This window comes from Homo sapiens, chromosome 2 (genome assembly GCF_000001405.40).
Source record: "Homo sapiens chromosome 2, GRCh38.p14 Primary Assembly".
NCBI lineage: Eukaryota > Metazoa > Chordata > Mammalia > Primates > Hominidae > Homo > Homo sapiens.
In genome coordinates, this window is record NC_000002.12 from 91,609,158 (window position 1) to 91,626,423 (window position 17,266).

At 45.4% G+C, this 17,266-nt stretch overlaps 1 pseudogene, besides 1 other annotated feature; it reads left to right on the forward strand.

Moving 5' to 3' along the window:
• The window catches only part of LOC388996 (otopetrin 1 pseudogene), a 32,073-nt pseudogene extending 19,729 nt beyond the window's left edge, over positions 1-12,344 (forward strand).
• Positions 3,222-3,725: an enhancer, noted in NCBI's record as "H3K27ac-H3K4me1 hESC enhancer chr2:91800405-91800908 (GRCh37/hg19 assembly coordinates)". NCBI's record gives its function as "activates a minimal SCP1, AML or CMV promoter by ChIP-STARR-seq in primed H9 embryonic stem cells {active_cell/tissue: H9 hESC(primed)}" and the evidence as "EXISTENCE:reporter gene assay evidence [ECO:0000049][PMID:30033119]".

Below are 17,266 nucleotides of genomic sequence, written 5' to 3' on the forward strand. Positions count from 1 at the left end.
CTGGCTTCAAGGCCCTCTGTGAAAGATGAGGTTGGATTAATTTTCTAAAAAAGGACTCTGTCAGCTGTAACATTCTGTTACTCTGAACTTTTCCTCCTGATTTCTTCCCTTGTCTTCTGCATAACACCGTATTGAATTGTAAGTGCTAGGGAAGCCCTGTGTGAATTGAAGATTATTACTGGGGCAGTGACTCACACCTGTAATCTGAGCACTTTGTAATCCTAAGGCAGGAGCATTGCTTTAGCCTAGGAATTTGAGACCAGCCTGGGCAACAAAGGGAGACCCCAGCTCTGGAAAAAAAAAAAAAAAAGCCAGGCATGGTGGCATGGGCTCGTGGTCCCAGCTATAGCTACATGGGAGACTGATGCAGGAGGATCACTTGAGCCCAAGAAGTCAAGGCTGCAGTGAGCTGTGTTTGTGCCACTGCACTCCAGCCTGGGCAACAGAGGGAGACCCTATATAAAAAAGAATAAAAAAAGAAAAAGAAAATTTCATAGTGTTCTGTGAAAGTAAAATTAATGCTACGATATAGTTTTTCTCAGATTTTTTTTTTTTTTAGACGGAGTCTCGCTTGTCGCCCAGGCTGGAGTGCAGTGGCATGGTCTCGGATCATTGCAAGCTCTGCCTCCCGGGGGTCACACTCTTCTCCTGCCTCAGCCTCCTGAGTAGCTGGGACTACAGGCGCCCACCATCACGCCTGGCTAATTTTTTGTATTTTTAGTAGAGACAGGGTTTCACCATGTTAGCCAGGATGGTCTCAATCTCCTGACCTTGTGATCTACCTGCCTCGGCCTTCCAAAGTGCTGGGATTACAGGCATGAGCCACCACACCCAGCTGCTTTTCTCAGATTTTGTAAGTAATATATACATATCATAAACTAAAACAATGACAAAGTGTGAAGCAAAAAAATCCACAACACTTACCCAGAAATGCAGTAAGTGCTGCGAATGTTTGGTTATTTTTTTGTAGTGTGCCATTTATTTATAGTTGATTTTATACTATATATTTGATCTTTTTTTATTGCAACCTTCAATAAGAGACAGATTTTACACTGTAATCCAAACACACACATACTTATGTGTGTATGCTTGATGAAATAATACTTAATTTTACTGTATCAGAGATGCTTCCAAATTTTATCGGAGTTGATTCCACTCCATTCTATCCCATTCTAGTCCACTGAAAATTATTTCTGCTACAAAAAAGTTGGTTGCTACCTGATTTTGCAGCCTTGTACTGGGTTGTGACTTGCATTAAAGAAATATACAGTTTGTTCTTACTTTTTTCCATTTTCCTTGAAACGAGATTACTTTCTTAATATTAAAACACATCCTGGCTGGGTGCAGTGGCTCATGCCTTTAATCCCAGAACTTCGGGAGGCTGAGGTGGGCAGATCGCATGAGCTCAGGAGTTCAAGACCAGCCTAGCCAACATGGCGGAACGTTGTCTCTACAAAAAATATAAAAATTAGCTGGGAGTGGTGGCATGGGCCTGTGGTCCCAGCTACTCAGCAGGCTGAAGTAGGAGGATGCTTGAGCACAGAAGGCTGATGTTGCAGTGAGCCAAGATTGTGCCACAGCACTCCAGCCTGGGCAACAGAGGAGGCTCTGTCTCAAAACAAACAAAAAACAAACCCCCCCCCCATACCCAAAACCATAAAGCACATCTTAATTATAACGTGCAGTGGCTGTCTACTATCTCATTGTTGGGATATACTAAAATTTACTTAACAATTTCTAAATTGTTGGACTTTGAGCTGTTCCTCTCTCTCTCTCTCTCTCTCTCTCTGTCTCTCTCTCTCTCTCTCACACACACACACACACAAACACACACAATTTTACCTGACTTTTTTTAAATTATTTTTTGAGACTGAGTCTCACTCTGTCACCTAGGCTGGAGTGCAGCGGTGCGATCTCAGCTGACTGCAACCTCTGCCTCCCAGGCTCAAGCGATTCTTCTGCCTCAGCCTCCCCAGTAGCTGGTATTACAGGCTTGCCACCACACCTGGCTAATTTTTGTAGTTTTAATAGAGATGAGGTTTCACCATGTTGGCCAGGCTGGTCTCGAACTCCCGACCTCAAGTGACCCACATGCCTTGGCCTCCCAAAGTGCTGGGATTACAGGGCTGAGTCACCACTCCTGGCCTTACCTGACTCTTTGATTACATTTTTATTTGTCCCTTTGAGTAGAAGGGTAGAATGGAAAGAATGGAATTATGGGTCAGAGACTGCATCGCCTTCAGGGCTTTGGTGACCTGTTTCGTCATTTACTTGCAGCATCTGCCCTCCTGTGATGAGAGGGCCCTCCATATGACAGCCAGCTTCTCTTCCAGAAGGTGGTGCCCGTTTACTTTCCCCGCACTGATATCAGAGAGCACCTGTCTCCTGCATGCTTGCTAGCACTGGAGTCTTAAGAGGCATATCTTTTGCTAATTAAAAGGGGCATTTTCTCCAGAAAGTATTTTTTAAAAATAATCTTAAAAAATCACACATGTAAATCATCTTCACAGAAAAAATTTAGAAAATACAGGGAAGCAAAATCTAGAAGAGGTTAAAAATCATCTGTCATTTTTCCACCCAGAGATAACAATTGTTGACATTTTAGTTTGTGTCCTTCCAGGTTTTTTCTGTCTGTCTGTGTGTGTGTGTATCCATCTATCTATCTATCATCTACATATCTATTTTTTACAACAATAGAGTCATCTTCTCTATCCTCTTTGGCAACTCACCAAATAAATGTGATTTAGGTAATGAATATGCTTTGGGGATACTCAGGGCTATCAAATTAGCCATCATATTAAACGTGATAATAAGCCATGACATGAAAAAGCTTGTAATCCAGTGGGAAGACTCAAGCCTGAATCCACAGTGGAAACAGTTTTCTGTGCTTTTCTGCTTCCCCTTGCACCTGCTAATAGCCCCTCTGTGTGATCAACCTGTCTCCCCTAGTTTTAGATGACCACACACCGCAGTGTAACTGCACGCCCCCAACTCTCTGCACCACCATCTCCCACGGGATCTACTATAACTACTACCTCTACCCCTTCAACATAGAGTATCAGATCCTGGCCTCCACAGTGCTCTACGTCCTATGGAAGAACATCGGGCGCAAAGTTGACAGCCATCAGCACCAGAAGATGCAGTTCAAGCCTGATGGGGTCACGGTGGGCACAGTCCTGGGCCTGACCGCGCTGGCTGCCACCATTGCCGTGGTGGTGGGTGGTGTACCTGATTCATATTGGGTGCTCCAAGACCAAGAGCGAGTCAGCACTCATCACGTTCTACCTGTATGTCATCACCCTGATGATGCTTATGGGGGCTGCGGGGCTGGCTGGAATCCGGATTTACAGGACAGATGAGAAGTCACTGGATGAGTCCAAAAATCCGCCCCGCAAACTGGACTCGGACCTCTTGGTGGGCACTGCCTCAGGCTCCTGGCTTATCTCCTGGGGCTCAATCTTGGCCATCCTTTGTGCCGAGGACCACCCCCACTACACCTGGTACAACCTGCCCTACTCCATCGTGGTGATCATGGAGAAGTACATCCAGAACCTCTTCATCTTTGAATCCATTCACCGAGAGCCTAAAAAACTCTCTGAGGACATCCAAACCCTTCGGATGGTCACAGTCTGCAATGGCAACACCATGCCCCTTGCTTCCTCCTGCCTCAAGAGTGGAGTTGTGGCCGGAGACGTGGCTCCCTGGGGCAGGGACATGCCACCAGCAGCCAATGGAAATGTGTGCCTGAGAGAAAGTTGTGACAAGGAGGAGAAGCAGGAGGAGAGCAGCTGGGGAGGGAACCCAAGCCCAGTCCACCTTCCTCGTTTCTTACAGGGCAACGCCAAGAGAAAAGTCCTGAGGAATATTGCAGCCTTCTTGTTCCTCTGCAATACTTTGGTAATCTGCACCAAGTTATTCTTATTCTTTTAATTTTGCTGTAAACTTTCATTTTAGGTTCAAGGGGTACGCATGCAGATTTGTTACATGGGTAAATTGCGTGTCGCTGAGGTTTGGTGCACAAATGATCCCGCCACCCAGGTAATGAGCATAGTACCCGATAGGTAGTTTTTCACCCTGCACCCCACTTCTGACCTCTCCCCCTAGTAGTCCCTAGTAGTGTCTATTGTTCATATATTTGTGTTCATGACTACCATTAGCTCCCACTTATAAGAGAGGACATGAGGTATTTGGTTTTCTGTTCCTGTGTTAATTCACTTAGGATAAGGACTCCATTTCTATCCAGGTTGCTGCAAATAATGTGATTTCATTCTTTTTTAAGGCTGCATAATATTCCATGGTGTAGAGCTACCACATTTTCTATTTTTTTTTTTTTTGAGAGAGGGTCACGCCCCATTGCCCAGGCTGGAGTGCAGTGGCATGATCACAGCTCACTGCAGCTTCGACCTCCTGTGCTCAAGCAATCCTCCCATCTCAGCCTCCTGAGTACCTGGGACCACAGGCATGTGCCACTACACCTGGTTAATTTTAAAAACTTTTTTTGTTTTTGAGACAGAATTTCACTCTTGTTGCCTAGGCTACAGTGCAATGGTGCTCACTGCAACCTCTGCCTCCCGAGTTGAAGTGATTCTCTTGCCTCAGCCTCCAGAATAGCTGGGATTACAGGCACCTGCCACCACAGTTGGCTAATTTTTGAAAATATTTTTAGTAGAGATGGGGGTTTCACCATGTTGGCCAAGCTGGTTTCGGACTCCTGACCTCAAGTGATCCACCTACCTTGACCTCCCAAAATGCTAGGATTACAGGTGTGAGCCACCATGCCTGGCCAAAACTTTTTTTTTTTTTTTGTAGAGATAGGTTCTCACTGTGCTGCCCAGGCTTGTCTTGAACTCCTGCGCTCAAACAATCCTCCTGCCTCAGCTTCCTAAAGTGCTAGTATTACAGATGTGAACCACTGTACCCGGCCATAATACATTTTCTTTATCCAGTCCATTATTGATGGACATCTAGGTTTCTCTTGCCTTTTTAAAATAAGGAATGGAGGCAGCTTGTAATAAAAATACTGTAAGTATAAAATTACAATATAAGGCTGGAAAATAGACCTATATTCTACAAATCTACCTACTGAAGACTTGCTGTGTGCTAGGGGCTGGGCTAGGTACTAAAGATTAAAGTGGAAAGACTCAGTCTCTTTCCTCTAAAAGGTCTCAGTATAATGGGGGAGGGAGACAATGAGCAAATCTAATATAGTGAACAGGACAAGTGCTGAGATGGGCTTGTGCAAGGTGTACTAGGAGCAGGGATCCAGAAGGACTTCAGTGAGTAGTGAGTGCTTGAGGTGAGGCCCAGTGTCAATCAGGAGTGCTTTTAGTTGCAAGTGACAGGCAATTTGATTCACAGTGTCTTCAGTCTTAACAATGTTTAATTATCTCCTGAGAATTCCAGAGGTTGGCTGCTTGGGGTTGGCCTGGCAGCTGAACCGTGTCATCAGGCATCCAGGCACTGTTCATCTTGTCACTTGGGTCGTGTGGTGTTTGTTGCGACATGGTCATGAGATGGCTGCAGCTGCACCAGGCATCACATCTGGGTTCAAGACAGAAAGCAGTGGGGAAGGGCTGGTGCCAGACAATGTCTCTCATGTGGGCACCCCTCACTGCAAGGGAGGCTGGGGAAGTGGACGGTTTGCTTCCCAGCCTCTCTGATGGAAGGTAGCAAGGGAGAGGAAGGTGTACAGTCACTCACCCATCTGTCTGCATCAGCAAGGAATGACTGGAAGTTCACCAGGTTATCAAGGCGGGGAAAAGCATTTCAGGCAGAGACACACAATATGTGAAGACACAGAGGCAAAAGACACCATGGCATGTTTTGAGAGCACCAAGTAGTTTGGCATAAATTCCATGTGTGTTAAGCAGAGTAGCAGAATGGGAAATAGGAGAGAGGGCCCAGGTAGGTGGACTCTGGCTTGAGCAGGGCTTCCTAGGCCTGGCTGGAGTCTAGTCTTTATGCTGAGGGCAAGGGAAGACTCTCTCAGATTTGTGTTTTGGAATGATCCTCCCAGTAGCTGTGTGTAGCAAGGATGGAGACAGATAGGGCCAGAAGCAGAAAGACTGGGAGAGAAAGCCCTGCAACAGCCCAGGCAGGAAGGGGAGGAGCTTGAACTAGGGCAGTGATGGAGGGATGGAGAGAAGAAAAAGGAATAAGAAGCATTGTGTGCTGTTGGGATTTTTTTAAAGACACATAAAGGAAGGATGGTGGGGGTCAGTAAGAAGGAGGGGGAAGCAGCCTTTGCCACCGCATGAGTCTCTGCAGTGATGGTGACTGGTGGCTGGAGGGGAGTGCCCCAGTCCACAGAGGTGCCTGCCCATCACTCTGGGTGAAGTCAGCTCTGTGCTACTAGCCTCTGTTATCAAGCCTGCTCCCTGTTGCCCCAGCAGCTCAGAGGCTTTTGAGCTTCCTCCCCTGAATTTCAGATGGTGCATATGGGGCCTGCAGCTTTTGATATCACCCTAAGAACACAAAGTTGGGAAAGTAAGTCCCTTCTAAAGTCAGAATGGCTGTGTGTCTGCCAAGCAAACCTGATCCACCCTAGCCTTGGATCACCCAGGTTCCTTCAGTTTGTTAGGCAGTGAGGAGGGGCTCTGAAGGTGGAAGGCCCAGAAGAGTTTGGCTGCAGGGAGACCCTCTTCTCCATCTAACAGACATTTGCCAGGCACCTGCTGTATGCCAGGGACTATGTCAGGGGCACAGCAGTGAGTCAAAAATTGAAAGAGTTAACAAGAGAGATAGATACTGTAAGCTGCATTTTTTTGAGGTGCATATTCCAAAATGCAAATTCTTATAAAGTCAGAGCTAGTTCTAGAATCTTCCTCAAGTATATGCTTTTTGTACATATCCTGTGATTAATATTAATATACATATATTTTGAGATGGAGTCCTGCTGTGTTGCCCAGGCTGTAGTGCAATGGTGCGATCTCGGCTCACTGCAACCTCCACCTCCTGGGTTTAAGTGATTCTCCTGCCTCAGCCTCCCGAGGAGGTGGGACTACAGGCATGCAACAACCATGCCCAGCTAATTTTTCTACTTTTAGTAGAGACAGGGTTTCACTAGGTTGGTCAGGGTGGTCTCGAACTCCTGACCTCAGGTGATCTGCCTGCCTAGGCCTCCTAAAATGCTGGGATTACAGGCGCGAGCCACTGCTTCTGACCTAATATTTCTTTTTAAAACTAAGTTCTGAAAAGTTGTCTTTCCCTGGTTGCCTTTTTGGTTGACCACTGGGTGAAATACTTGGCTTGCATTTTTGGACCCACTTGAAGAAAGATAGCACTGTCTGAAATACCAGAATCAAGTGGCAATTCATGGTCTGTCAGGACCCGAAAGCCAGACCCAGGGCCCAGTCCAAGGAGAAGGGTGGGCTCCGTCTCTTCCTCCCTGTGCTTGGCCCATGATGCCCCCAGGCACTGGTTGGGTTCTGGGGGGTTGAACCAGAGGATGGAAATCATCGCAGGGTGGAGTCTTAGGATACCCGTGCTGGCTCATGGGGTGGCACTTTGAAACCTTGTGGTTGACCCCAGGTGGTGCCAAAGGCATCTGGCAGAGAGCAAGAGCTGTCTTCTCCAGCATCGGGAGCCAGTCCAGAGGCCCCAGCTGCAGGTGCTGATGTGCATGTCCAGGTGGAGTGGGCTCCACTCCAGAGACGGACATGGAAATGTTAGTTGAATTTCCAGGAGCCGTGGCACTGGAGACAACAGAGGGTGGTTGTGGTGACGGGGAAGGGCAGGGTGCTGTGGGAGATGGGTCAGGGAAGGCCTCTTCTAAGGAAGGGTGTGGATGGGGCTGGGATGAGAGACTATCAGGGCAGAGCTGCAGGTGTGGGGAAGGGACGGATGCAAGGCAAGGCAGGGCTCACTGGACATGACCTGGGAGCACAGAGCAGAGGGCAGAGGGGAGACCACACAGGGCCTGCGAGCCAAGACTCAATCTTAAATGCAACAGAAAACCATGGAAAGGTCTACACTGAGAGTGACGGGATCTGACTCATGCTTATTTTGTTATATTTTTAATTGTGGTAAAAAACTCATCACATAAACTTTTCCATTGCACCCACTTTCAAATGTATAGTGGAGTAAAGTACGTTCACATTGTGCAAACATCACACCATCCATTTCCAGGTTATTCTCATCTGGCAAAACTGAAACTCTGCCCCCATTAAATATGAACTCCCCATTCTCCCCAGCCCCTGACAACCACCGTTCTTTCAGTCTCTAGGAATTTGACTCCTAGACTCCTCATATAAGTGAATTTGTGGAGTATTAGTCCTTTTGTGATTAGGTTATTTCACTCATCATAACACCCTCCAGGGTCTCCAGGTTGCAACTCGCAAAGGGTGACAGATGCCAAACATGACCCCTGCCTTCACACTTGAGTTCCTGGGGAGATGGTGATACTATGTTGGAGATGGAGGACTCTGGAGGAGGGGCAACCTTGGGAGCAGTGGGTGGAGGTCAGTGTGGAAGGAAGAACCAGAGTTAAGTAATGAACGTGTTCTGTTTCAGGTGCCTCTGTGGCATCCAAATGGACGAACCCAGTAGACAGGTATTTTGGTTTTCTATTGCCGTGCGATGAACTACCACTAATGTATGACAAAAGCAACATGCATGACTGTTTTTGTCCCATGGCATTTATTGTGACTCATGGCTTTGTGGGTTAGAAATTCTGGCAGGGCTTGGATGGGCAGTTCTGTTCCTCACAGCATCAAGTGAAGTTGGTGAAGCCTTGGCCAGAAGCTTCGTGGTCTGATGCCTTGGGTGGGGGTGGCTGGGAGGCTGGGCTCAGCCAGGACTCTTGACTGGGGCATCCACAGGTGGGTCTCCAGCATGACGTCTCAGGGTGGTTGGACTCCATGCGTGATGGCTGAGGGCCCCAGAGCTGACCCTCCAAAAGACTGAACTGGAAGCTGCCTGTCTCCTAAGGCCTGGGCTTGGAAACTGCATGGTGTCATTTCTGCCATATTTTATTAGTCATGTAGTCACAGAGTCCATCTAGATTCAAAGAAAGAGGTCATAGGCCACTTCTCAATAGGATAAGTAACAAGAATTTCCAGCCAACTAAACAGCACATATAAAGATGTGGATTTCAGAAAAGAGGTCCCATTTTCCTGCCTTCCTTTCTTCTCCCTTTTCCTCCCTGTCTCCCTTGCCCTTCCTCTCACCCTTCTTTTAAAAGGTGTCCCTTAAGTACCTACAGAGGTACAGGGACTGCTATGAATGGTGAGGGTACAGCAATGACCAAGATCTCTGGTCTTCCTCTTATGGGGCTTACAAACCAGGCAACAGCAGGTGAAACCATCAACTGAGCAAGAAAGACACCTTATAGTGTACCCGTGTTAAGCAGAGAAGTGGAAAAGGAGGGTGTGGGAAATAGCTCTTGGGCTGCCATTGTAGATCAGATGGACCAGCTTAGCGGGAAGGCCTCGCTGAAGGGTGACATGAGACAGGAAGGGGTTGACCACGCATGTTCAGGGCAGAGGGAACAATGGCTGGTATAAACCCCCAGTGGGAGTGAGCGGGTCTGGTTTGAGAAACAGGAAGAAGGGTTGCCTGCAATGTGGGTGGGGTGAGTGGGGAGAAGCGTGGGTGGTTAGAAATCAGCTAACAGAGCACTTTATCACTCAGTGCGGGAGTGTAGAATTTATTTTAAATATTTTGGGAAGACTTTAGGGGTTTAATCAAGGTAGGGACAGGATCTGATTTCCATATAATGTAAATCTGGTGGCCGAGTGGAACCCTAGTTCGAGCTGGGAGACCAGGCACGGGGCCACCGCCATGGTCCAGGTGAGAGAGGCCGGCTGGACAGGTGGAGAGAGAGAGCCACAGGTGGGCTGAAGATACTGCTTTGGAGGTGCACAGTGGAGATGCGCTGAGGGACTGGATGGGAGGGGGCATGGTTATGAGAGTAGGAGGGAGATAAGGTTGACACCTGGAGCCTCGATGGACCACCTGGGAGGACGATGTAGCTGAGCAGATGGAGAAATGGGGAAGGTGGGTTGAGTTTGAGATGTGTTTTAGACACCCAAGTTGCCACCGGAAACTATGAGTCTGGGGTTCTTGGAAGTGGTCCAGGCTGGAGATTGAGACTGGGAAGTCATAGGCCTATAGCTGGTATTTACAACCAGGGACTGGGAGAGAGCCCCAGGGTTCATGTGTAGAGAGAATAGAAAGGGACCCAGGAATGAGCCCTGGATGCTGGCTAACATTAAGAGGCAGAGCAAAGGATGAAACAGCAAAGGAGACTGGGAAGGACCCGCCGAACAAGTAGGAGAGCTCCTAAGAGTCACAGCAGCCAGTAAGCAAAGCAGAAGAGAGGGGTCTTGGTTCCAGGGCCCCCGTGGTGTATACCAAATGCACAGATGCTCAAGTCCTATATATAAAATGGGGTAATACTTGCATGTAACCTACCCATCCTCCCGTACACTTTAAGACATCTCTAGATTACTTAGAATACCTAATACAATTTAAATGCTATGTAAATAGTTGTTACATTGTATTGTTCAGAGAATAATGACAAGAAGAAAGTTTGTACCTATTCAGTACAGACACAACAAACCATTTTATTTTTTTAATTAATTTATTTTTATTTTTTGAGACCGAGCTTCACTGTTGCCCAGGCTGGAGTGCAGTGGCATGATCTTGGCTTACTGCAAGCTTCGCCTCCTGGGTTCAGGGGATTCTCCTGCCTCAGCCCCCTGAGTAGCTGGGATTACAGGCACATGCCGCTACACCTTGCTAATTTTTTGCATTTTTAGTAGAGATGGGGTTTCACCATGTTGGCCAGGCTGGCCTTGAACTCCTGACCTCAGGTGATCCACCTGCCTCGGCCTCCCAAAGTTCTGGGATTATAGGTGTGAACCACTGTGCCCAGCCTACTTTTTGAATATTTTTGATCTGTGGTTGGTTCAATCCACAGACACAGGTCCCTGGATACAGAGGTCGGCTGTATATACCAGGGAGTGTTCTGTATGGAGATACAAATGAAGGCTATGTGTCTCAGTTACGTATTGCTATGGAAGAGACCACCCCAATACTCAGCAACTTAAAACAATGTACATTTATGATTTCATAGTTTCTCTGACTTATGAATCCAACTACAGTTTTAGCTGAGTATCTCTGCACAGGGCCATTCCCAGGCTGAAACTGTTGGCTGGGGCTGCATTCATTTCAAGGCTTGACTTTCCGAGAGGTGGCAGAGGATTTGTTTCCAAATCTACTCATGTGACTGTTGGCAGGATTCAGCTGTGGCTTGTTGGGCTGAGGGTCTGAGTTCCTTGCTGGCTGTTGACAGGAGTACTCCCTGGGCCCCTTGCCGCGTAGGGTGCTTCGCAGCATGGCAGCTCTGCCACCTGTCTTTCAGGAGAAGATGAGCAAGAGGGATAACAGGTCCTTTTGCAACCTAATTTCAGAAGTGACTTCCTGTGTCTTTTGCCATATTTTGTGAGTTGGAAGTGAGTCGTTAGGTGCATCCCACACTAAAGGGGTGGGGACTCCACAAGAGGGTGACTGCAGGAGCTGGGGATCATTGAGGGTCATGCTAGAGGCTGCCTGCCACAGCCAGGGAGTGGAGGAAGCTGAAGAAGGGTGCAGCCTGAAGCAGGAGTGAGGAGCCTGACAACTCAAGGGGTGGCAGAAAGGGAGAGAACTGGGACAGAGAAGAGCCTGAGAAGCAGGGAACAGTGTGTAGGTTCCGTGAGCAACACAAACAAAAGTCACTGCTTTCAGTTTTGCAAACTTAATTCTCATCTAAGCCCTCTCAGACACGTGTTAGAATTCCCATCTTTCAAATGAGGAAACTGAGGCTGGGCGAGGGCTGTAGAGATGGAGAGAGTTGGATGGGTTCAAAGAGCGCTCATTAGGGATGGATTGCAGGGAAGGGTGGGTGAGGAAGTGAGCAGGATCATGGCAGACATGGATTTGGTGGTTTCTGTGGAGATGGGAAATGCCACGAGGTCTCCTTATTGTTCTGTCAGGGGTGACTCAGTCCCCGTGCATCAGGGTCAGCTCCCATGAGGCCTGGGACTTGAGTGGGGCCTCCATGGTGGCTTGGAAGCTGCTCCCCACCACAGGCCATTTTCTCTTCTCTTGCAGCTTTGGATACCTCCCGCTTTTGGCTGTCGACCTGAGTATGACAACGGATTGGAGGAGATTGTCTTTGGCTTTGAACCCTGGATAATTGTGGTCAACCTGGCCATGCCTTTTTCTATTTTCTATGGAATGCACGCAGCTGCCTCCCTCTTTGAGGTCTATTGTAAGATATAGTCTGGTTCCACAAGAGACCGAGGAGTGAGCTAACAAGAGTTCATTGGAGCCAACTGGGAATGGCCAGGTTGGACAAATATTGCCTGACAAACATGAGAAGGGCCACCTTTTGTCTGCAAAGATTGTGCTTCCTGTGGGCTGGAACTGCCCATCACCTCTGATGAATGTAAACAAGTTAGATCAAAATCCATAAGGTGGCTGGAATCTGTCCTTGGTTAGTTAAATGCTAATCAAGCCCAAATTATTTTATTGCCTTCTAAATGATTTAGAAGAATGTGATTCTGGCTTGGGAAAAAATCTATCCAGTTTGTTTTTCATAAAAAGCATTTTCTTTGTGTCATTTATCATGTGACTCCATACAACCTTTTCCTGACCACCTGCATAGTAATTTACACTTTAAAAATTTATCCTTCTCAAAGCCTATGAATTTAGACACAATCACTATTGTTTCTGAATAGGTTTAATTTCTTGAAGTTATTTTTATCAGCTGGATAGAAATTTGTATACAGACCAATATAAAAACACATTTCTTACCTGAAATGTTGGCACATTTTTGTGATCATTTTCAAGTATTTTTAAAAAGAAATTTCACTGTTCTCTCTTTCACTGTAAATACATACATGTTTATTGTAAAAAATTTGGATATTTCAGAAAAGTAGAGAGAAAAAGTCACCTACGATGCCATTGTTCAATTAACAATTACTTTTAATATCTTGGTGTATTTCTTCCGACCATGTTGATGAGATTCTTTTTATTGTCATTATTATACCTTTGAATGGTGATGTAACATATTTGATTTTGTATTCAGTTATTTTCCTACTTAACAATATGGCATAAACCTTGCCCCCATATTGTTATAAGTTCTTTATAAATATCATTTTAATGCTGTATGATAGTCTATCAAGTGAATGTACCTTAATTAACACAGTTTCCTATGGTTGGTTTTACAGTGTTTATAACTTTTTGCTTTTATAGGTAACTCTGCAAAAATCAACCATATTTGTGAAGCATTTCCTATATTTAGAATTGCTTCTTTAAGATATGGAATTACAATTAGGATGCCTAGTCCAAAGATTAAGTTTATAAATATTTCAAAGGTGCCTAAGGAATATTGACATTTGGGAGGCCTTTGTATAGTTTTTCCACAGCTATTTTAAAATAATAATAAAATTAATTTTCTTACTGTAAGTATTAATGTATCTTTTCATTTGAGTGTATTTTTTTCAGACAGTGCAGGCAATGGGACAGTAATAAATACAAAGTTTTTTTTAACATGACTAAAGTACACTTATTTTAGAAAAAACTAAAAAATAGGCATATATACTAAAAAACAAAGGAAAGCATCATCTATACATGTCCCATCTAGAGAATCGGTTCTCCAACTGGGGACCTTGTTCCTTGAGGGGACATTTAGCAATATCTGAAGACATTTTTAAATATTTATTTTTTATTAAAATTAAAATAAATCTAAATTATACATAACATTTATACATACTTACAGGGTACATGTGATATTTTGATATAAACATATAATAAATAATAATCAAATCAGGGTGACAGATATTCATACCCTCAGGTATGTATCTTTTTTGTGTGTTAGGAACATTCTAATTTCACTATGTTAGTTACTCTAAAATATACAATAAATTGTTGTTAACTATAGTTGTACTTTTATGCTACCAAACACATTTTTGATTGTTACACTACTGCACCCAGGGATACTGCTAACACCCTACAACACACAGGACAGCCCCACCACAAAGTCTTCGGGCTGATTGTCAATGGTGCTGAGGTAATCTAGAGGTAACTGCTGTTAAGTATTGTTATCTAGGTAGCTATTAGTACACACACACAGGCTGGACGTGGTGGCTCACGCCTGTAATCCCAACACTTTGGGAGGCTGACACAGAAGGATCGCTTGAGGCCAAGAGTTTAAGACCATCCAGGGAACACAAACATAGTGAGACCCTGTCTGTACAAAACACAAAACAAAAAACCCAGGTGCGGTGGAGTATGCCTGTAGTCCCAGCTACTCATGAGGCTGAGTGGAGAAGATCACTTGAGCCCAGGAGTTTGAGATTGGGTAGTGAGACAAGATTGTGCCACTGCATTCTAGCTTGGGTGGCACAGTAAGACCCTGTCTCTAAAAAATAAAAATTAAAAAAATTATATATATATATATATATTTATTTATTTTTATTTTTTTGAGACAGACTTTCACTCTTGTCACCCAGGCTGGAGTGCAATGGCATGATCTTGGCTCACTGCAACTGCCGCCTCCTGGGGTCAAGCGATTCTCCTGCCTCAGCCTCTGGAGTAACTAGGATTACAGATGCCTGCCACCATGCCCAGCTAATTTTTGTATTTTTAGTACAGACAGGGTTTCATCATATTGGCCAGGCTGGCCTTGAACCCCTGACCTCAGGTGATCCACCTACCTTGGCCTCCCAAAGTGCTGGGATTACAGACGTGGGCCACCGCACTCAGCCGATAATTTTTTTTTCAAAAGTACGCATACACCCACACCCACACCCACACCCACATGAAGGCGGTGTTTTTATGTATACTGCGTTTGTATGTAACTTGCTTTTTTCCTCTTGATACACCAGAGTGCTTCTTCCCTATTTTGGGTCCCAGGCATCGATGCTCTGGCTTTAGTGTGCCTGAGACTCATCTGGGGAACTTGTTAGGATTCCTGCCCTCCAAGCTGGAAGTGCAGATTCAGTCTGGAGGGGGGCCCGGAAGTCTGCACTTTCATGAGCATCTCAGGGGATGCCAACTCCCTTTGATAAGCATCTCGTTGGACGTCCATGGACCCCAAGCTAGGACTCCTAAGTTTCCTTGACATTGTATATCCATATGCAGTATGATTTTGGGTGGATTTAAGGTACATTCCATGGAAGGATGTACCATTCCTTATTTTTTCAAACGGTGATGTTGGACATTTAGAGATATTTAGGTGGTTCCTTTTTTTTGGTGCTACTGTAAACAATGCTATGGTGATCATCTTTGTAACTGAGTCTTTGAGGTCAGTAACAAACTATCCTCTGGAGTGATTTATGCTGACTAAGCAGTGACTGAGCAAGAATACAGGTTTCCCCATTTTGGTTGGCATTACCTTTACCCCTGTTCTAAGCACATTAGAAAAGCCCTGAGGCCTCAGCTGTGGGTTTTGGGCTCTTCCAAGGAGACAAAGGAGCTATCATAATGCTGGGAATGATGGATCCAGGCTGTGGGGATGCTATTGTGGACACAGGGCAGCATCAGAGCTTGGAAAAGCCTGCATGGCTGGCCAGGCTCAGCGTTTCCAAGAAAGGATCTAAAGATGGATGAAGCATCTCCTATCCTCAACAGGCAGCCTCAGGGATGGCTATTTCAGCTAGGTGCTTTTTACCTCCAAGTAATTAAGCATCCTGACTCAACCAGCGTAGGTGGCAAGGAAAATTTACTATCTTAATGCCAAGGCAATTTGCCAAAGAGGAACCAGAATGTGCAATACACAAGTGTTAAGGTCTCAGGGATTAATACAGGGAATACAAATTGAAATAATAATGAGTTACCACTTCCCATTCATTAGATTGGCAAGAGTTGGCAAGAAGTGAAAGAAAGACTCATATATACTGCTAGTGGGAGCGTAAATGAATAAAATCAGATAGGACAGCAATTGGCAATATTGACTAAGGCTGGAGGTACACATTCCTTACGACCTAAGAATTCTGTTCCTTGGCATGTGCTCCAGAGACAGCCTCACACCTATGTTCAGGAATGTTCACTCAGCATAACTTGTAATTAGGAAAATGGAAAACAGCCTAAATGCCTGTCAATTAGGAGTGCAGATAGACACACTAGGGACAATTTCCATGATGGACTATTTCACAAGAGGAAAAAATGAACACAACAGAATTCATGTATCAACATGGATAGTCCCCCAAAACAATGTTGAATGAAACATTAAGTAGTGTAGGGGTATAATTGGTATGATACCATTTATATGATGTCTAGGAACAAGCAAAACAATCCCTGATATTGCTGGGGGATATGTCCATATGTAGTAAGATTACAAACACACCTGAAGAAAGAATGCATGCCAAGTTCAGTGTAGTGAGAAGGGGAGGGGCTTGGAACCAGCAACTGAGTTCATGCTGTGTCCGAAATATTTTTTCTTAAGCAAAGATGTATTCATTATGTTTTCATCTGCACTCTTAAAATGTACTCTTTAAATGTACTTTTAATGTATTTTAAAGAAATTTTAAATGAGATATTTAATAATACAAGTATTTGAGAGCAATAAAAAAAGAAAGTCCATACAAGGAAGATGAACTTAGACAGAGCTACCAGAGCAGGTAAATTTCCAGCATTCTTCCATCATTGTTGAGAGATGGGTGTCAAAGCCAGTGGTGTTCTGTTCTCCTTGGCAGGTAGATCCCCAAGGTGGGGTAGCTCAATGCAATTAGCTGGTAAGATCACCGGACTCACTCTTCCAGGGATGACTCCGTGCACATTAGGAAACCTGACATTGGTTTGCCTTCCAATGTCTCTCTTTGCTGTGGGGGCAATGCCCTGGGCACACATATTATCAGGACAATCTGCAATGGACTGGATGTTTGTTTCCCCCTTAAATTCATATGTTGAAGCTTAATGGCAATGTGGTGGTATTTGGAGGTGGGGTCTTTGGGAGGTAATGAGGTCATGACGGTAGGACCCTTGTGAATGGGATTAGCGCCTGTAAGAGGGGGCCAGAGAGCTTGTGCACTTCTTTTCTGTCATGTGAGGATGCAATGAGAAGACAGCTGTCTGTGACCTGGAAGAGGGCCCTCACCAGAACCCGACCATGCCAGCACTGGCACCCTGATCTTGGGCTTCCAGCCTCCAGACCTGTGAGAAATAAATGCCTGTTGTTGATTAGCCACCCAGCTTGTGCTATTTTGTTACAGCAGCTTGCACTGAGTAAGTTACTCCCTTACCTGCTGTAACCGTATACAGGAGGGGCCTGTGCATT